The sequence below is a fragment of the Homo sapiens genome, chromosome 16 (assembly GCF_000001405.40).
Source record: "Homo sapiens chromosome 16, GRCh38.p14 Primary Assembly".
NCBI classification, from domain to species: Eukaryota; Metazoa; Chordata; class Mammalia; order Primates; family Hominidae; genus Homo; species Homo sapiens.
In genome coordinates, this window is record NC_000016.10 from 35089678 (window position 1) to 35116782 (window position 27105).

At 37.5% G+C, this 27105-nt stretch overlaps 1 pseudogene; it reads left to right on the top strand.

Annotated features, from left to right (window-relative positions):
• On the top strand, positions 824 to 15159 carry VPS35P1 (VPS35 pseudogene 1; annotated as a pseudogene).

Consider the following 27105-nt stretch of genomic DNA (forward strand, 5'->3'; position numbering starts at 1 on the left):
AGATGGTCTTTTATTAAAGTAGCCTTATTCAAACTGGATCCCAACAATGTCAAAAATCCTGTATCAAAGTAACAGATTCTTAACGTGAGGGAAGACTCACCAGCGCAGAAAAGGTGACATACGAGCAGAGCGCTCAGTGGTATAAGGTGAGAACTGCATACGTGCTCCGAGAATCACCAATTCCTTCCATAGCAAACTTTTCAGGTTCCATTTATGGCACCATATGTGTAAACCTAAACAACAAACATACAAGACTCTCTAAAGTAAAAGACACTTACTTGGGAATAAATTGTAGTAATGAGAATGTAAATGTCATAGTAAATCGTGCATATTAATGGTCAGTGATCTCATAAATTAGTTCCTTAGTCTGTCTAAGAATAGACTGAAATGCAGATGATAAGCAGTCTACAGGAAAAGAGAGGCTTTAGAGATTGGTTTTGGCTATACCTGTCACAAGATTTTGATTGGCCGGATGGCTATGTCTGGGTTGTATTCAGAGTGTGTTAGCAGAACACAGCCATGAACTACCACTGCAAGTTTCTTTGATGCCAGCCTACTACAAGAATGTTGAGTCAGTTTCTGAGAGAGAGGCAATTCTTTGTACACATACTGTTCTCCTTTGTCAGTCTTATTCTGTTAATTTCAATGATGAGGCATGGCTCTGTGTGCAGCAGCAGTTAATAATTGGTAAATGAGTTTGAGGTATAGAGCTGGATTGATCCTTTTGTGACAGTCTTGGAGAAGGACTATGGCTAAAACTATGAAAATAACATATTTGCTAGAAGAATGTGCTTGAGACATCAGTGGAATTTTTTATTTTTCAGCCTACAACACAGCAGTCCCCTCAGGATGAGCAGGAAAAGCTCTTGGATGAAGCCATACAGGCTGTGAAGGTCCAGTCATTCCAAATGAAGAGATTCCTGGTAAGAATGGAGATGTGGGAGGCACAGTTGCAGTTCGTATGTTCCTAAGGAAGCATGTGCAGTGTCTTCTAGAGTCAGGTGGCACCACCATTTCTGGTAAATCTAATCTTCACTGTCTACCAGCATCTATCTTCAATCTCATCTCCTCCAAGCACTGCGTGGAGCAGTTTCAACAAAGAGCCCTGTTTACTCACATGTATATTTATGGTTTGGGATTGTCTGTCTTCCCTACTAGAATACAAGCTCATAAGAACAAGAGACCCTTCCTTTTATTTACACATTACTGTATTATTACCACACCAGTGTCTGACCAGAATTACTAGCCTCCTTGGTTCTATACCTCAGACCTGAGGAGTACTTAACATATAATAGGTACTCAGTAAATATTTGTTGAATGAATGGATTTAAATGCTTTGCATTTGAATTATTCGGCTTTTTTTCTAAATATCTTGAAAACTTTAATTTCTTTCCTGAATAGATATATTTATTGTAGCTAGCTTAAAAATTATACTTAACACTTATTTATATATTTTCTTATTCTAAAAGATAAAGTAAGAGATAATCTGTGTAGATACTGTTGATTCTCTGGATTAAAATGTAAGGAATTAAGCCAAATTGGTTGGTACTTTAAGCTATAAATTACTGTGATGAAGATGATTCTGTCTTACCTTTGTAAAATGTCTTACTATGCTTTCTAAAGCATAGTAATATGCTCTTGTATCTTTTATTGGTTTCATTCCTAACAAATTGGGAATGAAAAATAAATGTCTTGGAATGGAGAAGAAGGGTTTGCTATTGCTTGCTTCCTTCTCTTCCTGTGTATGGATAGTGTTTCCTCTATCTCAAGGAATTGCTTGCATTTCTGAGTTAAGTGGAACATATGGGCATTGCGAGGATTTGAAGAATGCAAGAGGAAAGCAAACTTACATGGATAGTCATTTCAGACAGCTCTGAAGAGTCTTTAACCCATGACAAAGCCATGTCAGGATAGTATCTTGCTTCACCTGAATCAGTATGCCAGTTCTCTTGATTGCAGTTAAAATGTGATGAATGGAGCTAGTTTCCTAGTCTCTATAGATTGAAAAGATTAGCGCTCTATCAAGAAGCTTGCAGTCCTAGTTATGTAAGTCAACTAAGAGTCATGCATCTTTTTCTTTTTAGTAGAGACGGCAAGGTGAAATGATCTAAGTTGATTTTTTATGTGGTTAAAATCATTTAAGTGCTGTATACTGTTAAAACTATGTAACAAGTCCTTGATGTAAAGAGTTTGTACAACCAAGATAAATGTTTATTTAAATTAAGCATTCTCATCTATTCTTTTGGTATTTCTGTAGGATAAAAACAAGCTTATGGATGCTCTAAAACATGCTTCTAATATGCTTGGTGAACTCCGGACTTCTATGTTATCACCAAAGAGCTACTATGAACTTTGTATCTTTTGAATGTTGAAGACTAAACATTTGGACCATACCTTTTTCTTGATAAAGCCAATCTCATTTGTTCTTTATGAAGTTTTTCTGGAGTTATCTTATTCTTCGTTATCTGAGTCACATGGCACTCCTTCTCCATGCAGATGTGCTAAGTGAGAAAAACACTTTGAGAGTACTCCTTTCCTATGCTTAAACATCTTTAAATGTGTTGTCGGTGCATCTCAATTTTCAGACCCTTCATGAGGATATTTAGGCTATGACACAGTTGGTTCTTTAATACTTAGATTTTGTTATGCAGCAGTCTCAAATGGACAGGAACTTAATCATTTGCTATTTCAAAACCCATTAGCAGTCTGACACGTAACCATTGTATTTACTGCTTTGCTTGACCACACATGCTTTAAAACCCTTATTTTGAAGTAAGAAAAGTCCAGCTAAAATTCTGTCTTCACTTGAACACTCTCTTAAAGGACTAAAACTTAAGATATCCGCCCAGTAATTAATAATGACTCCAACAAGTTTCAAAGTTTTGCTTAGGTTGGCTTATCTTTATTTTTAGTCCTTAATCATAATTAAAAGATATGTCCATTTCTGATAACTGCACTACTTGGAGGTCTACCTGACAGATGAGTTTGCTAAAGGAAGGAAAGTGGCAGATCTCTATGAACTTGTACAGTATGCTGGAAACATTATCCCAAGGCTGTAAGTAATTACAAATTGGAGGATTTTGTGTCTGTATTTCCCACTTTATGTTCTTTATGATTATCAGCTTAAAAAAGTTTTAAGGGTAATTTCTTAACAAATTGAGATGAACATTTTGGTAGATACTCTCTTATTTGTTTTAGAGTAACTAGACTGACGTTTTATGTAGATATTTGAGGAATTTTAGAAAGAGAAAAAAATGGACATGCTTGCTATTTTGTTTAATGTCTTGACTGTTAGAAAAATTAATATGACAATTATTCTCTTCCTAATATGTTTAAAAGTAATATCTATCTTTTATATATACAGTATATGTCTATGTGTGTGTGTGTGTGTGTGTGTGTGTATACATAGTTTTTCAGAGGTCAGTCAGTGGTTATATTTTAAATCAGATATTTTCCTTTTCATGCAGGAGAAAACAACATGGTTCCTGTCTTGTTTATTTAATGTTTTGTTCAGTGTGTTTGGAAATAAATTCTTGATTTGAATATTTTATTTCTAATCAGCATTTCTTCATAATCCTCCTAGTTACCTTTTGATCACAGTTGGAGTTGTATATGCCAAGTCATTTCCTCAATCCAGGAAGGACATTTTGAAAGATTTGGTAGAAATGTGCCGTGGTGTGCAGCATCCCTTGAGGGGTCTGTTTCTTCGAAATTACCTTCTTCAGTGTACCAGAAATATCTTACTTGATGAAGGAGAGCCAACAGAGTGAGTGATTTTCTTTCTTGATTTTGTTGCAATATTTCTTTCATTGTAGAATGTATGAAAGTGTGGAAACATGTACAGAAACAAAGTAAGTATGAATAATTCTTCCACTTAGCCATTTAGGTAGCATTTGTATACAGATTTCCTTTGTAATATAGAACTCCTCAGTATATGTGGTATGATCTAAAATGTACTCTTATGCAAATTTTATCTTTGGATTATTAGGACCTGCTTTTTTCATTTAATGTAATTGAGCATTTTTCCACTACTTTAAACATTCTTTGAAAATACAACTTTTTTAAGGGGGTTATATTTGGAGATTGAATTTGTAATGAAATAATAAAGTGTGAGCCAGCTGGATTTCATAATTGTTCCTTTAATGTCTATCAGTTTTTATAATTTATAGACTGCTAGTTACCTTGGAATGTAAGTGATTTAAATTAGCTGTTACAAGTTAGCTATTAACTCCACAGAAGAAAAAATAAAAGCCATTTAGAGACACTCCTGTCTCTTGTGTTATCAGTATTCTAGCATCAACGTCTACTGTACTTTTATCCCACAGCAGGGGCAGATGGTCAGCCAACTGTGGTCTTCAGTGGGGTGAGCTGTTCACATGACAGGTCTCCAGATTAAAGAACTTCATTCCTTTTATTTTAAAAAGTTTATTCATTTATTCTCTTTCTTTAATTTTTAATCTTTTTTCAGTTTGCCCCAACAGAGTTTTTTTTTTTTTAATATTTCCATTTATTTCTAAGGTGTACAATTCAATGGTTTTTAATACAACTGCATCAATTTCTTCTTAAACAGTAAAGAAAAGACAAAAAATTTAACAATATAGAGAAATTGATGAAGTTATTTGCTTCATTACGTTTTGACTGTCCATTTTGAGCATTTAACTAGGCGATCAATAAAAATTTTTGAAAGCTACTGAGGTCTCCATCCTAGGAGATGCAGAAAAATAAAGCAGGAAATCCATGGTCTCTTCCCTCACAAAGCTTACATTCCAATCAAAAACAAAATATTCAACAGAAAAATGATATAGTTAGCAGTACACCATAAGTGTTACGTTTTTTAGCCTTTCGTATTTTTTTTGGTTGTTTGTTTGTAGGGATGGGGTCTCATTATGTTGCCCAGGCCGGTTTTAAACTCGTGGCCTAAAGCGATCTTCCTGCCTTGGCCTCCCAAAGCACTGGATTACAGACATGAGCCACCATGCCCATCCTTCTAGCCTTTTTGAATTAAGGAAGTTGCCATAAGAGCAAGTCCAGTTGGCCCAGGATAGGGAGTTGGGGAAAGTAACTTGCCCTTTAAATTTATACTGTCCTCTCCAGGTACTTTTTTCCCTAGAGTCTGTTCTCTTTGAAATTTAACACTAAGCCAATGAAGTTGAAAGTGGTTTTTTAAATAAAGCATTGATGTACTACAGAGATAAGTGGGAATTGCACAAAGGAGAGGGATAGTAAGTTGGTCCTATAAATACTGTGTAAAGACATTTCTGTTTCTTTGCAGCGAAGAAACAACTAGCAATATCAGTGATTCCATGGATTTTGTACTGCTCAACTTTGCAGAAATGAACAAGTTCTGGGTGCGAATGCAGCATCAAGGACATAGCTGAGATAGAGAAAAAAGAGAGCGAGAAAGACAAGAACTGAGAATTTTAGTGGGAACACATTTGGTGCACCTCAGTCAGTTGGAAGGTGTAAATGTAGAACATTACAAACAGGTTTATATCTTTTTGTTACCTCTTCTTATGTTCTGAGATAAACTGAAATCTGGTTTTTAAAATAAGAATATTTTTGTTATATAATATTACATTGAAAAAATCTTAAAATGGCTTTTATTGAAGAAGACTTAAATAAACGGAAAAATATATATGCAATGTTTGTGGATTGGAAGACTGAATATTGCCAAGGTAACATTTTTTAAAAAATTGATCTATAGATCCAGTGTAATTTCAGTCAAAATCCCAGCAGACTTTTGTAGAAATTAAGAAGCTGATTCTAAGGTTTATATGAAGAAACAAAGAACCTGGAGCAGCTACAACAAATTTGAAAAGGAAGAATAAAGTTGAAAGACCCAAACAACTCGAATTCATGATTTACTCTAAAGCTACAGTGAGAGCCTGTGCGGTACTGGTGAAAAGGATAGACACACAATCAATGGAGGGGAATAAAACAGGGAATGGAAAACTTTACCTGTGAGGGACCAGATAATAAATGGTTTTTGGCTTTGCAAGACATATACTGTACAACAAGCTTGTCCAACCTGCGGCCCAGGACAACTTTGAACGTGGCTCAACGTAAGTTTGTAAACTTTAAAACATGAGATTTTCTGCTTTTTTTTTTTTTAAAGCTCATCAGCTATTATTAGTGTATTTTATGTGTGGCCCAAGACAATTCTTCTTCTAATTCTTCTTCAAGCCAAAAGATTGGACACCCCAGTCTACAACTAATAACAGTGCAGACATGGTGCAAAAGCAGCCACAGACAATATGGAAGTGAATGGGCAAGGCTGTGTTCCAGTAAAACTTTATTTGTAAAAACAAGCAGCAGCTCAGTTTACTGATCTCTGACTGGACAATCCATAATAGACCCAGATATTTATGATCAGTTATTTTTGATAAAAGTACAAAGGCAACCTTTTCAGCAAGTGATTCTGGAACAATTGGATGTTTATACGCAAACAAACAAAAAACCCTGAACCTTGACCCATCCCTCATACCATATAGAAAAAACACAAAAATCAATCAGAGACCTAAATATAGAAACTAAAACTGTTAGAAGAAAACACAGAGGAAATCTTTGTGACCTAGGATTAGACAAAGATTTCTGAGGATACACAAGCACAAGCCATGAAGAAAAAAGCTCACTTTTGAGAGGCCAAGGCAGATGGATCACTTGAGTCCAGGAGTTTGAGATAGGCCTGGGTAACATAGGGAGACCCCATCTCTACAAAAATTACCAAAATTAGCTGGGCATGATGGAATGTACCTGTAGTCCCAGCTACTCAGGAGGCTTGAGGTGGGAGGATGGCTTGAGCCTAGGAGGTGGACGTTGCATTGAGTGGAGATTGTGCCACTATTACTCCAGCCTGGGCAACTGAACAAGACCTTGTCTCAAAAAGAAAATAGCTTTTACAGTTTAGAAGTGAAGTCTTGGTGGGAAAAATCTCAAATACGATTTTCAAGTTAGTAGTTCAAATGTGTTACTAGGGGAATAGCTTAAGATTTCAAAAACAGATTTTAACCCTTATGTGTGTGTTTTTTCTCTTTTAGATTGTTTTGTCTGGCATATTGGAGCAAGTTGTAAACTGTAGGGATACTTTGGCTCAAGAATATCTCATGAGGTGTGTTATTCAGGTAGGTGTGAACATTTATTTCATTTTTTTAAAGGACCTATTTTATGTTTCATTAAATTTAATTGTTTTGAAAAAATTTTGATGGAATAGGAAATAAGCTTTCCTGAATAAAGAATTTTCCTTGCTGGGTGTGGTGACTCACACCTATAATCCCAGCACTTTGGGAGTTCAAGGTGGGAGGATCTCTTGTGGCCAGGAGTTCAAAACCAGCCTGGGCAACATAGCAAGATGCCGTTTCTATAAAAAATTGAAATCATTTTTAATGCTTTTTTTTCATGTAAACTTGCTTCTTCTAAAAATAATTTTAAAACAAGAGCTTTCTGTTATAACTTGGTCTTTGTATCAATGTGGTTTGTTTTCCTCCAAAATGTAGGAATGAGTAATCTGAGTTTTCTAGGTCTCCGTAGCTTTAGTTTAATTGTAGGTACACTTTGTTTACTGGAATATTTGTGTCTGAGCTTATGTTTAGTAGAGAGCTTCAAAAGTAATGTGTTTGAATTTAGTTGTATAAAATTTTTTTTCCCACAAATGTGAACTTTACCGTATGTGAGTTCAGAATATTATGTGAAATACTTTTACTTGTACTGATCATTTGATTTTCAGGTTTTCCCTGATGAATTTCACCTCCAGACTTTGAATCCCTTTCTTCGAACCTGTGCTGAGTTACACCAGAATGTAAACGTGAAAAACATAATCATTGCTTTAATTGATAGGTAAGACCTTCCAACACTGGAGGATAAATGCTCTGACTTGGGAATAATGAATTTTAAACATTTTTTGAATTATTTGTTTCTGTTACATCTTCATCATACCAATGATCTTAATTTAATTATAATATAAATAATTTAGCTTTGTGAGTATGAATACTAGGTACTTGCCTAGGTTGACATGAAAGAGGCTTAACTTAAATGTGCAGGAGACATGAAGATAATGAATATCTTTATTCTGTGCACTTAACTGACATTTAAAGAGGTTGTACAGACTTATTTTTTAAATTGTACAAATCCAAAGATCATATTGAAGAACATAATTTGTTTTTTACCATGATGTAAATATCTTGCAGTGGGAACTCATTTGATTTAGAGTAGCCATAAGATACAGATGATTGAAAATGTTCAAGTAATCACTCTATCATCACATTTTCTTAAAGAAAAAATTTTAGGTATCAAATATGTTTAGTACACCCACTTTAAGTTTCATTTTCTTGTTTTGTTTTGTTTTTTTTTTTCCAGACAAGGTATCACTCCGTCACCCAAGCTAGAGTGCAGTGGCGCTGTCTCGGCTCACTGCAAATTCCAACTCCTGGGTTCAAGTGATTCTAGGGTCTTAGCCTCCGGAGTAGCTGGGATTACAGACACGCACCAACATGCCCGGCTAATTTTTGTACTTTTAGTACAGACAGGGTTTTGCTGGGTTGGCCAGGCTGGTCTCAAACTCCTGAGCTCAGATGATCTGCCTGCCTTGGCTTCCCAAAGTGCTGGGATTACAGACGGGAGCCACCATGCTTAGCCAATGGGTGACTTTTTTTGCAGCCATGTTGTGTAGTAGTACATAATGTCTGTCCTACACTTGTAAGCATTGTCATGAAACCAGAAACCTAAGAGAAGATTTATTTCTGCAGATACCTTTTGTATGTTTTTTTTAAAAAACTAAGTTATTCATTTTAAAGTCTGAGAATTTAGATAACAAAATTTTCCAAATCATCAGCTCAATCCTGGGCAGCAAAAATTCCATACTTATTGGGCCCACTCTTTTTTTTAATTTAATTTTATTTTATTTTATTTTATTTTATTTTATTTTATTTTATTTTTATTATTATACTTTAAGTTTTAGGGTACATGTGCACATTGTGCAGGTTAGTTACATATGTATACATGTGCCATGCTGGTGTGCTGCACCCACTAACTCGTTATCTAGCATTAGGTATATCTCCCAATGCTATCCCTCCCCACTCCCCGCACCCCACAATAGTCCCCAGAGTGTGATGTTCCCCTTCCTGTGTCCATGTGATCTCATTGTTCAATTCCCACCTATGAGTGAGAATATGCGGTGTTTGGTTTTTTGTTCTTGCAATAGTTTACTGAGAATGATGATTTCCAATTTCATCCATGTCCCTACAAAGGACATGAACTCATCATTTTTTATGGCTGCATAGTATTCCATGGTGTATGTGTGCCACATTTTCTTAATCCAGTCTATCATTGTTGGACATTTGGGTTGGTTCCAAGTCTTTGCTATTGTGAATAATGCCGCAATAAACATACGTGTGCATGTGTCTTTATAGCAGCATGATTTATAGTCCTTTGGGTATATACCCAGTAATGGGATGGCTGGGTCAAATGGTATTTCTAGTTCTAGATCCCTGAGGAATCGCCACACCAACTTCCACAATGGTTGAACTAGTTTACAGTCCCACCAACAGTGTAAAAGTGTTCCTATTTCTCCACATCCTCTCCAGCACCTGTTGTTTCCTGACTTTTTAATGATTGCCATTCTAAATGGTGTGAGATGGTATCTCATTGTGGTTTTGATTTGCATTTCTCTGATGGCCAGTGATGGTGAGTATTTTTTCATGTGTTTTTTGGCTGCATAAATGTCTTCTTTTGAGAAGTGTCTGTTCATGTCCTTTGCCCACTTTTTGATGGGGTTGTTTGTTTTTTTCTTGTAAATTTGTTTGAGTTCATTGTAGATTCTGGATATTAGCCCTTTGTCAGATGAGTAGGTTGTGAAAATTTTCTGCCATTTTGTAGGTTGCCTGTTCACTCTGATGGTAGTTTCTTTTGCTGTGCAGAAGCTCTTTAGTTTAATGAGATCCCGTTTTTCAATTTTGGCTTTTGTTGCCATTGCTTTTGGTGTTTTAGACATGAAGTCCTTGTCCATGCCTATGTCCTGAATGGTAATGCCTAGGTTTTCTTCTAGGGTTTTTATGGTTTTAGGTCGAACGTTTAAGTCTTTAATCCATCTTGAATTGATTTTTGTATAAGGTGTAAGGAAGGGATCCAGTTTCAGCCTTCTACATATGGCTAGCCAGTTTTTCCAGCACCATTTATTAAATAGGGAATCCTTTCCCCATTGCTTGTTTTTCTCAGGTTTGTCAAAGATCAGATAGTTGTAGATATGCGGCATTATTTCTGAAGGCTCTGTTCTGTTCCATTGATCTGTATCTCTGTTTTGGTACCAGTACCATGCTGTTTTGGTTACTGTAGCCTTGTAGTATAGTTTGAAGTCAGGTAGTGTGATGCCTCCAGTGTTGTTCTTTTGGCTTAGGATTGACTTGGCGATGCGGGCTCTTTTTTGGTGCCATATGAATTTTAAAGTAGTTTTTTCCAATTCTATGAAGAAAGGCATTGGTAGCTTGATGGGGATGGCATTGAATCTGTAAATTACCTTGGGCAGTATGGCCATTTTCATGATATTGATTCTTCCTACCCATGAGCATGGAATGTTCTTCCATTTGTTTGTATCCTCTTTTATTTCCTTGAACAGTGGTTTGTAGTTCTCCTTGAAGAGGTCCTTCACATCCCTTGTAAGTTGGTATTTTATTCTCTTTGAAGCAATAGTGAATGGGAGTTCACTCATGATTTGGCTCTCTGTTTGTCTGTTGTTGGTGTATAAGAATGCTTGTGATTTTTGTACATTGATTTTGTATCCTGAGACTTTGCTGAAGTTGCTTATCAGCTTAAGGAGATTTTGGGCTGAGACAGTGGGGTCTTCTAGATATACAATCATGTCGTCTGCAAACAGGGACAATTTGACTTCCTTTTTTCCTAATTGAATACCCTTTATTTCCTTCTCCTGCCTAATTGCCCTGGCCAGAACTTCCAACACTATGTTGAATAGGAGTGGTGAGAGAGGGCATCCCTGTCTTGTGCCAGTTTTCAAAGGGAATGCTTCCAGTTTTTGATCGGGCCCACTCTTAAAGGAAGCTAGTAACTGGATTTTCCTGTGTTGTCTGTAATGTCACTTACACATCTCTGTCAGTAGTGATGCTTCTGGGCATAACAAAGTGTGGATGTAGTTGTGACTCTGACAAACAGATAATGATAATGAAACAGACATTACTTTGAGTAATTTAAGATGTGGGAAATAAAAGTTAATTTTATGAATTTTAGACTTAGTTGTATTTCAAACTTTAAGCAGTAAAAATGCTGTATCTTAAAATAGTCTGTACTTTTATTTTTAAAGATTATTTATTTAAATCATGGTTGTTGAATACATTTGTCACTTTAATGCATTTCTGTCCATATCTACTTAATTATGCTTCAAAGAGTTTGAGAGAATTATCTTTTTGAAAACCTACTTAGTATGGTATGAAATAAGAATGCTGATGAAAAAGGTTTCATTGGCAAAACTGTTTAGTTAAAAATGAATTGAGGAGGCCGGGTGCAGTGGCTCACATCTGTAATCCCAGCTCTTTGGGAGGCTTGCTTGAGTCCAGGTCAATACCACCCTGGGCAACATGGCAAAACCGCATCACTACAGAAAACGTAAAAATTAGCTGGGCATGGTCGCACATGCTGTTAGCCCCAGCTACTCAGGGGGCTAAGGTGGGAGGATAGCTTGAGCCCAGCAGGTGGAGGTTTCATTGAGGGGAGACTGCGCGACTACACTGCAGCCTGGGCAAGAGAGGAAGACCCTATATCAAAACACTGAGGGAATGATCGACTTAAAAACCTTTTGGGCTCATATAAAATATAGAAAAGCAATAAAGAATAAGATGTCATCCATGATCTCACTACCCAAACCCTGTATCTTTTAAAATAAAGGGGTTTTGGGGTTTTTTTTAGATTAGCTTTATTTGCCACTGTGAAGATGGACCTGGAATCCCAGCAGATATTAAACTTTTTGATATATTTTCACAGCAGGTGGCTACAGTGATACAGGTTTGTGTAGCATTTCTCCTAAGTTCTCAAAACTTTGAAACTTCTCTGCCTTCTTTTTACAATTGTTTAAAATAAATTGTGTGGTTTTCTAAACATTCCAGTCTAGACAAGACATGCCTTCAGAGGATGTTTTATCTTTACAAGTCTCTCTCGTTAATCTTGACATGAAATGTTACCCTGATCGTGTGGACTATATTGATAAAGTTCTAGAAACAGCAGCGGAGATATTCAATAAGCTCAACCTTGAACAGTAAGTTACATTTTTTGTAAAAATCTTCATAAAGACATTTTTGTCTTAGATTTGCTTTTCTTTCTCAATTGTTTTTTGAACTGCTGGCATTTGTCTTGTTTTAATCATGCATTAAGATTGTCATGCTGGCCGGGCACGGTGGCTCACGCCTGTAATCCCAGCACTTTGGGAGGCCGAGGCAGGCGGATCAGAGGTCAGGAGATTGAGACCATCCTGGCTAACATGGTGAAACCCCGTCTTTACTAAAAATACAAAAAAATTAGCCGGGCGTGGGCGCGGGCGCCTGTAGTCCCGCTACTAGGGAGGCTGAGGCAGGAGAATGGCGTGAACCTGGGAGGCGGAGCTTGCGGTGAGCCGAGATTGTGCCACTGCACTCCAGCCTGGGTGATAGAGGGAGACTCCGTCTCAAAAAAAAAAAAAAAAAAAAGGTTGCCATGCTTAGCACTACTAGGGGCAGAAAGTGGTGACCAATTACTTGTTTTTTTATATTAATGAAATTGTGGTACCTATGGACCATAGGCAGTCTTCAGGGACCAGTGCCTCCAATTTGGATCCCTCTCTGTGTGTCAGGGGCGTCCAATCTTTTGGCTTCCCTGGGCTGCACTGAAAGAAGCATTTTCTTGGGCCGCACATAAAATACACTAACACTAACAATAGCTGATGAGCTTAAAAAAATCGCAAAAGCTCATAATGTTTTAAGAAAATTACAAATTTGTGTTGGGCCGCATTCAAAGCTATCCTGGGCTGCATGCGGCCTGTGGGCTGCGGTTTGGACAAGCTTGCTATAAGTGAATGAGTTTGTTCTTAAACTGGTAAGGAAACTTTGTCAGGCAGTATTTATTTCCATAAGAGATGTTTTCCTACGAATGAGTACATGGTGAAAAATGAGGGGTGTATATATATTTAAGGTGCAGAATTAAATTGGTTTAATTATCTTTTCTATTTTGAGCTTTGATTTTGATACCTTCAAGGAAATATCAACAGTACTGTTTCCAACTTGAAGCCTCCCGAGCTGTTCTGTTCTAGACCTATGGCGTCCTCTAGTGGCCACTGTGGGCAGCACTGATCCTGTACTTTCCCCAGAAGTTCCCTTCCTGCCCCTTCCCCACTGCTCTGGACTTGGGTTAAGCCAGGCCCGCCTCCCCCGCCCATATTCTTCAGAATTTTACCTCATGTAATCTTCCTCCTTTCTATCTCCCTTCCAGTGGTTTACCTGCATCAATAAAATTTCTTCTTTTCCCCCCCCCCTTTGTATTACCCTTTTTCTTTTGGTCATTTTTGGTTTTGTGTGTGTGTGAACTGAAAACAAATCCAGATATGGAATGATAAGTGTGAGAGAAAATTAAATGATGTACCAGGTGTGGTGGCTTGCATCTGTAATCCCAGATATTCAGGAGGCTGAGTTGGGAGAATCACTTGAGTCCATGAGTTTGAGAACAGCCTGGGCAACATAGCGAGACCCCATCTCTAATAAAAAATAAAACTAAAAATTAAAAACATTAAAATAACTAAATGATATATCTATGTGTTTCCCCCCAAGTGAATTTTAAAGTAAAAATAGACAAAATAATTAGAAATAACAACCTCTAAAGAGGTTGTAATAAATGTCCCAATATGCCTCAATTCTGCGGAATGATTTTACTAACGACTACCTAAAAGTCAGTCAGCAGCCTGCTTTTCCGTAATCACCAACATCTGATGCAGAAGAAATAGTTTACATATTTTTCTGTTGTGTCGAATTGCTGGTTTTGCATGGATTTTCTTCCTACTTGTTTTCATCATGAATATACAATACTTGTTGGCTGCCCCCTGGGAACCAAACTACCACTTAAAATACTTCCCTTAGAAATGTCATCGAATTCTAGACAGTCATCTTAACTCCAGCTATACCATCTGTTCATGAGTTGGAAACTGTATCTAGTTTTGTATCAACAGAAAAATAATAGATGAATATGTGTTTGTGTTTAGATAAGCATTTTTATCCTCCTGAAAGGAGGTTGCTATAGTCTTCTGGTGGTATGATTCACTTGACCCATTTCCTTTAATGTGTAATGAAAAATTTCAAATTCTTATGGAACAAGTGCTATTTGTGTATATAGAAAGTTAATTTTATTCATTAAGACTTCTGTTTTTATTTTTGTAGTATTTCCACCAGTAGTGCAGTTTCAAAGGAACTCACCAGACTTTTGAAAACACCAGCTGACACTTACAAAAATATTTTAACAGTCTTGAAATTAAAACATTTCACCCACTCTTTGAGTACTTTGACTATGAGTCCAGAAAGAGCATGAGTTGTTATGTGTTAAGTAGTGTTCTGGATTATAACACAGAAATTGTCTCTCAAGACCAGGTAAGAGAATACCTATGTGCTATTTTAGGGAAACAGTGTTACAATTTTAGACTTTGGACCTAGATACCCAAGATGGGAGGCGAGGGTAATTCAATACTAAAGAAATTTACAAGTAACTTATTCATTATATAAATTGGAAAATTGGAGATGTATAAAGAATTATAAAACATTTATAATTCCACCAGATAGAGAATAACCACTGTTAATTAACATTTTGTGTATATCTTTCCAGACTTTTGTCTGTATATGTGTGTATGACATACATGTGTATTGACTTTCTCACCAAAAAAAGGAATATCTTGTTGATACTGTAATTTTATAACTGGAAACACTTTTGATAATGGCTTTATATGCCAATGGTTTCACGTTAGTGGGTTTCTTGTGCCTCGCATGTTACAGGTGGATTCCATAATGAATTTGGTATCCACGTTGATTCAAGATCAGCCAGATCAACCTGTAGAAGACCCTGATCCAGAAGATTTTGCTGATGAGCAGAGCGTTGTGGGCCCTTCATTCATCTGCTGCGCTCTGAGGACCCTGACCAGCAGTACTTGGTATGAGTTTACTCTTACTATAACGCTGTGTCAGCTCCTGGTGAAATCACATGTTGAAGTGCTTAAAATGGTTTAATTCACCTTCTGGTCTTAGACAGTTTTGAAGGAATTGCAACTGAATTAAAGATTCACTTGAACCCAGGAGGCGGAGGTTGCAGTGAGCCGAGATTGTGCCACTGCTCTCCAGCCTGGGCAACACAGCGAGACTCCGTCTCAAAAAAAAAAAAAAAGATTCATGGCATCCATGGGCTGTTACTTTATATATAAACACATAATTGTTTGTAAACTTCTGGAGCATTTAACAATTCAGTTGCTCTGATTTCTTTTGAAGACTATCTGAGAATTACAAAAAAGTCTGTCTTCTTTTACTTGAGTGCCCATAATTATTCCATGTTCATTTTTTTCTGAACTGTGTATTGCTTATAATAAACTTTATAAGAAATACAATTCTTATATTTAATTTTACTTTTCCAAATTTGCAAGTATAAGTTATATTTGTCACATTGAAAATGTGAGTTTTTGTTTTCTGATGAAAGATTTAAAAATTCATTTTACCTTTTTCTTAACTTTTTTTTTTCTGATGAAGAACCATCACATGAGGTTCTCTCTTTATTATTAGTCCACAGGGAATCTTTGTGAAATGGATAAAACATGTTGCCTGAGTAGGGGTATCAGTGACTGATACTAGATAGATAATTTATTTTAGTGAAGGGTTAGCATGGTTGGCTGCTTAATTATTGTTTGGGCAAAGTAGTTTAACCATTCTTGGATGCATAAGGCTGTTAGGCTGCTATGATGAAAAAGACATTTGCTTGAGGACGTCCTGTCTCATCTGTTTCTGTTGACTTTCTTCATTGTAATTGACACTCCTGTACTTCTCCATAATCAGTGTGAAATAAGAGGCTGACTTCTGTTGGTAGTGTGATGTTCTTTGTCTTGTCTTGGATTAGTGACAAACATTCCAGGACTGTGGTATTGTGCTCTGTGAGCTATGTGATCTGTACAGAGTGACTGTCTGAGTATTTTAACTGATTCCCTTATGTTTCTGTGTGAGATTGTGTGTGTCTGTGCGTTTTCATTTTCTATTACATACCAAATGTAGTAGTTAGGAAGTATGCCTTTTGGCTGGGCGTGGTGGCTCATGCCTATAATCCCAGCACTTTGGGAGGCCGAGGTGGGTGGATCACCTGAGGTTAGGAGTTTGAGACCAGTGTGGCCAACATGGTGAAACCCTATCTCTACTAAAAATGCAAAAAATTAGCTGGGCATGGTGGGCACCTGTATTCCCAGCTGCTCAGGAGACTGAGGCAGGACAATCACTTGAACCTGGGAGGTGGAGGGTGCAGTGAGTGGATATCATGCCATTGCACTCCAGCCTGGGCACCAAGAGTGAAACTCTGTCCCCACCCCCCCTCAAAAAAGAAAGAAAGAAAGAAAGTATGCCTTCTGCATGTGGCTGATTGGTTATTCCCATGTATAGAGATCTTTAATGATAGGGTAATTAGCTCTGACTGCCCCTAGGGGAAATGCATTCTCTTATTCATCTACCATATCAGAGAATTTCACAAAACCTGAATATCATTGTGTCACACATATTAAACAGGAGCAGGTTTCCTGCTGTTGAGAAGCTAACACGTCTGTCAAATTTATACCCCACGTTATGGCTGGCAGGATAGAAAGTTGAGTGCTGGGGACCACCTTTATCTGTTCAGATGTTTATGCAAAAACTTCAAGCTGTCATCTGGTTTTCTCCCTGGCAGGAGGTCAATACAAATGTTCCTTTGTGCCTGATCTGGGGCTAAGAGTTTCTAATGGGGGTGTGCCCTGTGGGGAAAGCCAGGCATGCCACTGACACCTCTTGGCCAGGCTTCCAGGCACTCTCTTTGCAGAGCTCCATGCAGGGGATCCATGAGGAGCTGTTTGATGAGTTAAGCTACTTTATCTCATTTGGCAAAGAGCACATGCACCATGCCAACAACCATGGGCAGGGTTAGTCTGGGGTGAAAGTGGGCACAGTGGAGTCTTGAAAGAGACCCAAAAGACCAGGGAAGGCCCAAGATCCAGACCCAAATATGAGGACTCCCTGGAAAATGTTTTAAAGCGTTCTCAATTAAGTGTCCCACAATCCCTTCCCAGAGGAATCTGGCATCCGTTAGTCCATAATAGCAACTTAGGTGCACAGTCACCAGTCATATACTTGTAGGAATATCAAAGAAAACACTTTTGTGTTGTTTTTACTTTACACAAGTCTACGAGTATCTTTGCAGGTCGCTACTATGTTTATTGTTTTAACTACCCACCCTAGATACCTCCTGCAGCAGGCAGCTTCAATGCCCTCCCTGCCAGAACTTTTCTAAGATTTAAAAATGTACAGTTACTAGAGAAGGGTTTTATCCAAATACTGGGGGTTACACAGAAAGGGTCTTATGTTACTCTATGCGTTAGTCATCTCACAGAACTCATCCCTATAGCCCCGTCAGGGCAGAAGCTTATGTCTTCATAATATTTCATAAGGGAGAGCCTTTTTCTCAGTAATTTAGCCTTTTAATGCTGATGGAGCCTGACATAATAAATTCAATTTCCATTTCATTCATGCTTCAGGGAACATCTTACGTGTCCTAATAGAGTATGACAGTTTGCTATGGCTTCCATAATACAGTAACACAGGCTGAAGTGCTTTAACAACAAAATTTGAGTTTCTCACAGTTCTGGAGGCTAGAAATCCAACCTCAAGCTGGTGACTGGGTGTTTTCTCTGAGGTCTCTCCTTGGCTTGCAGATGATCATCTTCTATCTCTGTGACCACAAGATCTTCTCTTGTGCTTTTCTCTTCCCTGACTGCCTCTTCCAATGAGGGCCCCAGTCATGTTGAATTAGGATGTGTCCCAATGAATTCACTTAACCTTAATTACATTTGCAGAGACTACATGTTCAAGTATAGTCACATTCTGAGGCACTAGGTGTTAAAACATGAACGTATAAATTTTGGGAAGGGAACACAATTTAGCTCATGACGTATACTAATCCCTGGTAGACGACAGCCTCCCAGGAAAGAAATGACTCAGTGAAAGAGTAGGCATTTGTAAAAAAGAGTGAATAGCTAAAGCCGGATTGTGTTCCAGAAGGGCTGTGACAGGTGCACTGCCAACAGGAGTTTCTTTCTTTTTTTTTTTTAACCAAATATAATATAGCTTTATTTTATTTTTTATAAGGATATTTTAGCAAACATTTTCAAATGTGAAAACTCTGGAAAACTACAACAAATCCAAAGAAGCAATGACAGTCTGCATTATAATTTCTGAAATTGATGGAGAAAAAGGTTTCTATGAATTTCTAACAAATTTATTTGTGTTTAACACATTTTCTACTTTTATATATGTTGTTGTGTGCATGAAAAAACTTCTCAAAAATAAGATTTATATAAATTATTATTTTATCAAGTAGGAGTGAAGACAGATTAGCAGATCTGAACATCCTGATACTAAATACAAATATATAAAGATCATTTTGATAAAGTCATTGACAAATTTGCAGAAACCTTGGAAATGAGAACTATTTCTTATATAATTGACCACGGTGTTGGTATTGATCAATATTTTTTATTTCAAAAAAATTAATGCAATTTAAGAGTGTTAATCTAATGTCTTTTTAAAATTTTTTTTATTATACTTTAAGTTTTAGGGTACATGTGCACAATGTGCAGGTTTGTTACATACGTATACATGTGCCATGTTGGAGTGCTGCACCCATTAACTCTTCATTTAACATTAGGTATATCTCCTAATGCTATCCCTCCCCCCTCCCCCCTCCCCTCACCCCACAACAGGTCCCAGTGTGTGATGTTCCCCTTCCTGCAAACAGGAGTTTCTGAATGTATCTGACATTTTGTATCCAGACTCCCTGGATGTTAACCTTCTTTGAATTATTTGACAAGCTGGCACCCATGTGTCAAAGAAAATTATGTTTATATTTCCACTTTTCTAACTGGTATGTTTGAGTTACCTTTCCGTTGTTTTATACTTATTTGGGTTTTCTGTTCACTGAGTTATCTCCTCGGATCCTTGGCCCTCTGACGGGGTTTTTCCTACCCTGGAGTTTCCCAGCATGGACGCTTTTGCCAGGTGTGGGATTGCTGTAGCTGGTTCTTTCCCTTTGAGGTTAGAAAACCCAGCTATGTTGATTTAAGTCAAAAGGGTTGTGCTAGGATTTCTTGCCCTGTGACCTGTCTTTAAAACATGCCCTTCCCCTCTATGACAGGAACAGACTAAGACTCAGGTAGCTTAGAGGAAATTTCATGCAACCCTCACCATGGAAGATTCTCATTCTGACCTGTGTGTTTTGGAGCAGCCATTTGACATCACAAAGCCTGTGTTTTCTCATTTCTACATTGAGAATGATTTTTGGGAACTCTCTGGGATAGTGTACTTTATAAAGATTATTAATACAGGTGAGTGCTGTTGTTCTACAGCTGATACAGTCTGATGAAGATGCCTTGAAAGTATTAATGGATTAATTATTCTTTACCTCCACATCAAATTCGACATTGGAAGCCTAAAAAATTCTTCACCATGAACATCTATGTCCTCCACATGCACAAGTCTCCAAAGGATGGGGAACTCCAGGTCTGAGCCACACATTCCAGTCCTCTGGTGTTTCATGGTCTCGTCACTGACTGTATGTTCCTTCTTGTCCCCGCCCCCCAGCACACCCAGGTAAAACTATGAGTCTATCCTGAACCTCGAGATTTGAATGAAGCCGACTCTCCAGCCAGGCAAAGGGAGAAGCTGATGCAGTCATTGGCAGCAGCTTTCTGGGGTCGAACTATCTTCTTTTTTATCATTTTCCTGAACTTTTACCAGGACTTCACCACCACTCCACAGTTCCCAGACCAGTTCAGTAGGCAAGCATCTGTTTTCTCCAAGGCGCAGTGGTGACTCTGCCAGCTACCGTGTTTCAGAATAACAATGCATCTCAATGAGCCTCAATTTCCATCTCTGAAAAGAATTGTACAATGAACCTCATATGGTTTTTGTGAGGAATGAATGACATAAAACATGAAAAGTGGATCCCTAGTGCCTGGCTCGGTGGAAAGGCTGCTGGGCATGCTCTGGATGTTCATATTTATATATTTTTTTCTGTTCTTTCACCCAAGAAGCTTTTTCTCATGTCTCAATAACTCATGTCCCTCTATAATTGGAAAAGCATGTAGAAGACAAACCTGTTCTTAACATTTGTAAAGGACAATTGAGCTTCATTTTAGCTGGACTTTGTCCTTGACCCAGAGAGGATGGATATCCCTGGGTGCTGAGAAAGGCAGACTAAGATATATCTAAAGAGGTGGGAGTTAGGGCTTATGCATTCATCACGTATATATTAAGCACTTTTTCCGACAGTTGGCATAATTCAATGAAGAAAGCAGATGACAGTTCCTGGGCCTCGATTTATTTTATGGAGTCATACACTCACAGTAGGCTTCATAAGCTGGTCATTTTGACAGAGTGTGAGATATGATGCCCTTATGCTCTCCTGTAGGTATGGATGCACGTTTCAGCTTCTGATCAGAAAGACACACCACAAGACCAAGTATAACATTTAAATATTTGCATAAATTTTTTAAAAAGTAACATCCCTTCATGATAAAAACTCTCAACAAATTAGGTATAGAATAAATTCACCTAAACCCATTAAAGTCCATGTATTACAAATAAACAGCTAATAATATATTAAATGAGACAAAGTTGCAAGCTTTTTCTATAAGAACTGGAACACAACAAGAATGCCTGCTTTCAACAATCTTATTCAGTACAATACTCTATATCCAAACCAGAGCAATTAGAGAACAAAATCAAAGGCATACAGATTGGAAAGGAAGTCAACTTGTCACTGTTTGCAGACCACATAATTTTATACACAAAACCTTTAAAACTCCACTAAAAAACTGTCAGATCTAATGTAGAAATGTAGTAAACTTGCAAGAGATAAAATCAATATACAAAAGTCAGTAGGGTTTTTATACACTAACAAGAAACTATGTAAAAGTATTTGGAAAAGAAATCAAGAAAACAATTCCATCTGTAATACCTACAAAAAGTATACTCAGAAATAAATTGAATCAAAAAGGTAAAGTCTCTACATTAAAGCTTAAAAAAGCTTTAAAAATTGAGGTCAAAAATTAAATTAAAAAAATGAAAAGATGTCCCTTATTCATGAATTTCTAGAATTAATATTTTTATAATGTCTATATTACACAAGATAATCTACAGATTTAAGACAATTCTTATCAAAATATCAGTGAGATACTTTAAAGACATAAGATAAAAATTCTACAATTTATATGATACAAAAAAGGCCTTGAAGAGTCAGGGCAATATGAGCAAAAAAAAAGTGCAAACATTATATTACTTGACAATGAAACATGGTACAAAGCTATAGTAACCAAAACAGTATGGTGTGGGCATAAAAACAGACACATAGGTTAATGGAGCAAAATAAAAAGCTCAGAAATTCATGCCTTTACAGCTAATTGATTTTAGATGAAGGTAACAAAAATACACAATAAAGAATGGCAGTCTCTTTAATAAATAGTGTTGGGAAAACTGGGTATTCACACAGAGAACAATAAAATAACACCTTCATTTTGCACCATGTATAAAATTAACTCATAATTTATTAAAAACTTAAATGTAAGACCTGACACTCTGAAACTGCTACAAAAAAACATAGGGTGGAAGTCCCATGACACTGGTTTAAGCAATGAGATTTTGAATTTAACCTCAAAATTCCGGGGAACAAACTAAAAATAAACAAATAAGATTACTTCTAACTAGGTCAGGCACGGTGGCTCACACCTGTAATCTCAGCACTTTGGGAGGAGGAGGCAGGTGGATCACCTGAGTTCAGGAGTTTGAGACCAGCCTGGCAAACATGGCAAAACCCTGTCTCTACTAAAAAAATAAAAAATTAGCTAGGAGTGGTGGTGCATGCATGTAATCCCAGCTACTGGGGAGGCTGAGGCAGGAGAATCACTTGAACCCAGAAGGCGGAGGTTGCAGTGAGCCAAGATCGCGTCACTGCACTCCAGTCTGGGCAATAGAGTGAGACTCCATCTCAAAAAATAAATAAATAAATAAATAAATAAATAAATAAATAAATAAATAAAATAGAGAGATAAAGACATACAAATATAAATACTGAAGAACTATTAGCATAGGTAATTGTAGAGAAGTACTAAAAGTATGATAGAAAAGAAATGTATTTTAAAATATTCACTTCTGAGTTAAGTTTGTAGATGTAGACACCTGACAAAGAGTTGCTCGTACATTACACAAACAAAAAAGCTGAAGAAACTGCAAATGAATGAATGTCTTGTTCTGAGCCTTTTGGAGACCTGAAGTCACAGAGAAGACAACAAACCCAACATCAGGGGATGCAGAAGCCTGCAGGTAATGGAGGCCCCAGGCTTTTATGTGCACCCAAAATACCATGTACTCTGGTAAAATTAAACCAGAACTTTTGAAGTAGTACTTGGTGGCTGTGTGTAGGTGGGTGAAGGAGAAGGTGAAACCCTGGAGTCTACAGACATAAGGTTTACACCTTTGTTAGAGTGTTTCTAGCAACCCTACAGGCCTGTCAGGGAGGATGGGGTAGAATCCTGAGAATGCTTCCCCAACAGTGCTGATGGGGAGGGACCACTATCCCACCCACTGCTACAACTCTGGAGATATAGCTTTCCCATCTCTCCTATAGAATACAAGGCCCAATGTGCAGAGTAAGAGCATCCAAACATGAGCCAGAGGGAACCATGAAAAAACTCACAGCAGCTGGTGGTGGAGAAAAAAGGCCAACATCCACATCTCTGCACAGATGCATCTCCCATAAAAAAATGAAGCCTAGCCAGGTGCGGTGGCTTATGCCTATAATTCTAGCACTCTGAGAGGCCGAGGTGGGCTTATTAATTGAGGCCAGGAGTTCAAGACAAGCAATATGGCGAAATCTTGTCTCTACAAAAAATTCAAAAAATAACTGGGCATTGTGGCACATGCCTGTAGTCGCAGCTACTTGGCAGGCTGAGGTGGCAGGATTGCTTGAGCCCAGAAGGTAGAGACTGCAGTAAGCCGAGATTGTGCCACTGCACTCCAGCCTGGGTGACAAAGTAAGACCCTGTCTCAAAACAACAACAAATAAACTAAACCGTTAATTTACAGAGCACTGTTGCAGAACCACTTCCACTGGGAGTTAAAAACATGGACTAGGAGCCTCTCTACTACTGGGGGAGAAGCAGAAATATGCTCTTGTCCCTGCATTGCATCTACAGGACGGGCAGGAAAATCTTTAAATGTCAGTAACCACACACCCCAGTTGACAGTGTTGTCTGAGGCTTCCTCAGAACATCGGAGATATCCTCACTCCCTCACCCCCTGCCACCAAGTTAAAAAACATGGAGTTGGCTGGGCACAGTGGCTCACGCCTGTAATCTCAGCACTTTTGGAGGGCGAGGCAGGTGGATCACCTGAGGTCAGGAGTTCAAGACCAGCCTGGCCAACATGGTGAAACCCCATCTCTACTAAAAATACAAAAATTAGCCGGGCGTGGTTGTGGGTGTCTGTAATCCCAGCTACTCAGGAGGCTGAGGCAGGAGAATCGCTTGAACCTGGGAGGTGGAGGTTGCAGTGAGCCAAGATCATGCCATTGCACTCCAGCCTGGACGACAAGAGCAAGACTCCATCTCAAAAGAAAAAAAAAAAGGAGTAAAAATAACAGGAAAATACAGCTGTGTACGAGACCACCTCTGATAAAAGGCATGAAGGGAAGGCACAGCAAACCTGGGAGATATTGGCAAAGTATCCTGAAAAGGATTTGAATTCCCTGGTGCTGAGAAGGTTATTGCTGCCATAACAAATTTCAATCCCAGCCTATCTCTCATCTACATGACCAGAAACCCCTACGCTAAGGCCTATCTGAGGGAAAACTGCTCATCAATAACCTAAAAACTATTTACCCCCAGTATACTGTTTTATACAACATATACTACAGCTTTTAACAAAAATTACAAGCCAAGCCATACTATTTTGTTTTAATATAAGATCTTTATTTATGTGAGAAGCAAATTAAAAACTGTAAAGGACAGAAGAAAATAAGCCATCAGGTAAAGGGGTCAGAATAAATTAGGCATCACAAAACCTATGCATATTGGAAATATGTTTAAATTTTTAAGCAAATGGGAAAAAGGGGATATCAAAATAGAAAATTATAAACTGAACAAGCAAATTTAGAAAAGAGTCAAATAGAAATAGAATAATTTAAATACATATTAATATACAGCATATGAGTTAAACATTAAATTAGACTGAGTTGAGAATGAGAGGTTTAGTGAACTGGATTAGTGAACTGGACTATTGAACACAATGAATATAGCCAAATACAGTAAGAGAAACAAAATAATAGCAATATGAATGTAAATATACATATATAAGTAACAGAATAAGAAGGAACAAAGCACAATTATTTTACTTAAGTCCATACAAATAATAAATCATGCTAATAAGATAATTATTTTCAATTTCTAAAATTAAAAATCAGATATAAACTCATAAATGCAGAAGTGCACTGTGTCTAAAAAAGAGCAATAAAGAAAGATATTTAACAAAATAACAGTCATACTGCATAACACCAAACAGAATGGAGACAAAAGCCATGAGAAGGAGAGATAACCTACAAGATGAGAGTAAAATCTCCACAGCCTATGCAGACCCAGAAAATGGAGAAATAAATAGTAAGAGTTCTGAAAAAAAGTTATTGTTCAACCTTTAATTGGATACATAGCTAGCATATTTTAAATAAATAAGGGTAAACTAAATTATCTTAAAAAGTAAAAAAAGAGAGAGAGAGAGAAAGGGAGAGAGATTGCATTTACCAACAGGAGCTTCTTGAGTGTACACTTCAAGAAGATAGAAAAGTGTCTTATAGAAAAATTAGGGAATCAAAATTAAAGATAAAGAACGTATAGACACTGGAGACTATGAGGGTGGACATTGAACTCAAGAAACCACTAAGTCTTTGGCAGCATAGGTTTCAAAATAATTTAGATAGATTAAAAGCGTAATTAAACTATTTTTTTATTTTATTTTATTATTATTATACTTTAAGTTTTAGGGTACATGTGCACAATGTGCAGGTTAGTTACATATGTATACATGTGCCATGCTGGTGCGCTGCACCCATTAACTTGTCATTTAGCATTAGGTATATCTCCTAAAGCTATCCCTCCCCCCTCCCCCCAACCCACAACAGTCCCCAGAGTGTGATGTTCCCCTACCTGTGTCCATGTGTTCTCATTGTTCAATTCCCACCTATGAGTGAGAATATGCAGTGTTTGGTTTTTTGTTCTTGCGATAGTTTACTGAGAATGATGATTTCCAATTTCATCCATGTCCCTACAAAGGACATGAACTCATCATTTTTATGGCTGCATAGTATTCCATGGTGTATATGTGCCACATTTTCTTAATCCAGTCTATCATTGTTGGACATTTGGGTTGGTTCCAAGTCTTTGCTATTGTGAATAGTGCTGCAATAAACATATGTGTGCATGTGTCTTTATAGCAGCATAATTTATAGTCCTTTGGGTATATACCGAGTAATGGGATGGCTGGGTCAAATGGTATTTCTAGTTCTAGATCCCTGAGGAATTGCCACACTGACTTCCACAGTGGTTGAACTAGTTTACAGTCCCATCAACAGTGTAAAAGTGTTCCTGTTTCTCCACATCCTCTCCAGCACCTGTTGTTTCCTGACTTTTTAATGATTGCCATTCTAAATGGTGTGAGATGGTATCTCATTGTAGTTTTGGTTTGCATTTCTCTGATGGCCAGTGATGGTGAGCATTTTTTCATGTGCTTTTTGGCTGCATAAATGTCTTCTTTTGAGAAGTGTCTGTTCATGTCCCTTGCCCAATTTTTGATGGGGTTGTTTGTTTTTTTCTTGCAAATTTGTTTGAGTTCATTGTAGATTCTGGATATTAGCCCTTTGTCAGATGAGTAGGTTGCGAAAATTTTCTCCCATTTTGTAGGTTGCCTGTTCACTCTGATGGTAGTTTCTTTGGCTGTGCAGAAGCTCTTTAGTTTAATGAGATCCCATTTTTCAGTTTTGGCTTTTGTTTCCATTGCTTTTGGTGTTTTAGACATGAAGTCCTTGCCCATGCCTATGTCCTGAATGGTAATGCCTAGGTTTTCTTTTAGGGTTTTTATGGTTTTAGGTCTAACGTTTAAGTCTTTAATCCATCTTGAATTAATTTTTGTATAAGGTGTAAGGAAGGGATCCAGTTTCAGCTTTCTACATATGGCTACTGGGTACATAACAAAATAAAGGCAGAAATAAAGATGTTCTTTGAAACCAACAAGAACAAAGACACAACATACCAGAATCTCTGGGACACATTCAAAGCAGTGTGTAGAGGGAAATTTATAGCACTAAATGCCCACAAGAGAAAGCAGGAAAGATCCAAAATTGACACCCTAACATCACAATTAAAAGAACTAGAAAAGCAAGAGCAAACACATTCAAAAGCTAGCAGAAGGCAAGAAATAACTAAAATCAGAGCAGAACTGAAGGAAATAGAGACACAAAAAACGCTTCAAAAAATTAATAAATCCAGGAGCTGGTTTTTTGAAAGGATCAACAAAAATGATAGACCGCTAGCAAGACTAATAAAGAAGAAAAGAAAGAAGAATCAAATAGATGCAATAAAAAATGATAAAGAGGATATCACCACTGATCCCACAGAAATACAAACTACCATCAGAGAATACTACAAACACCTCTACACAAATAAACTAGAAAATCTAGAAGAAATGGATAAACTCCTCGACACATACACTCTCCCAAGACTAAACAAGGAAGAAGTTGAATCTCTGAATAGACCAATAACAGGATCTGAAATTGTGGCAATAA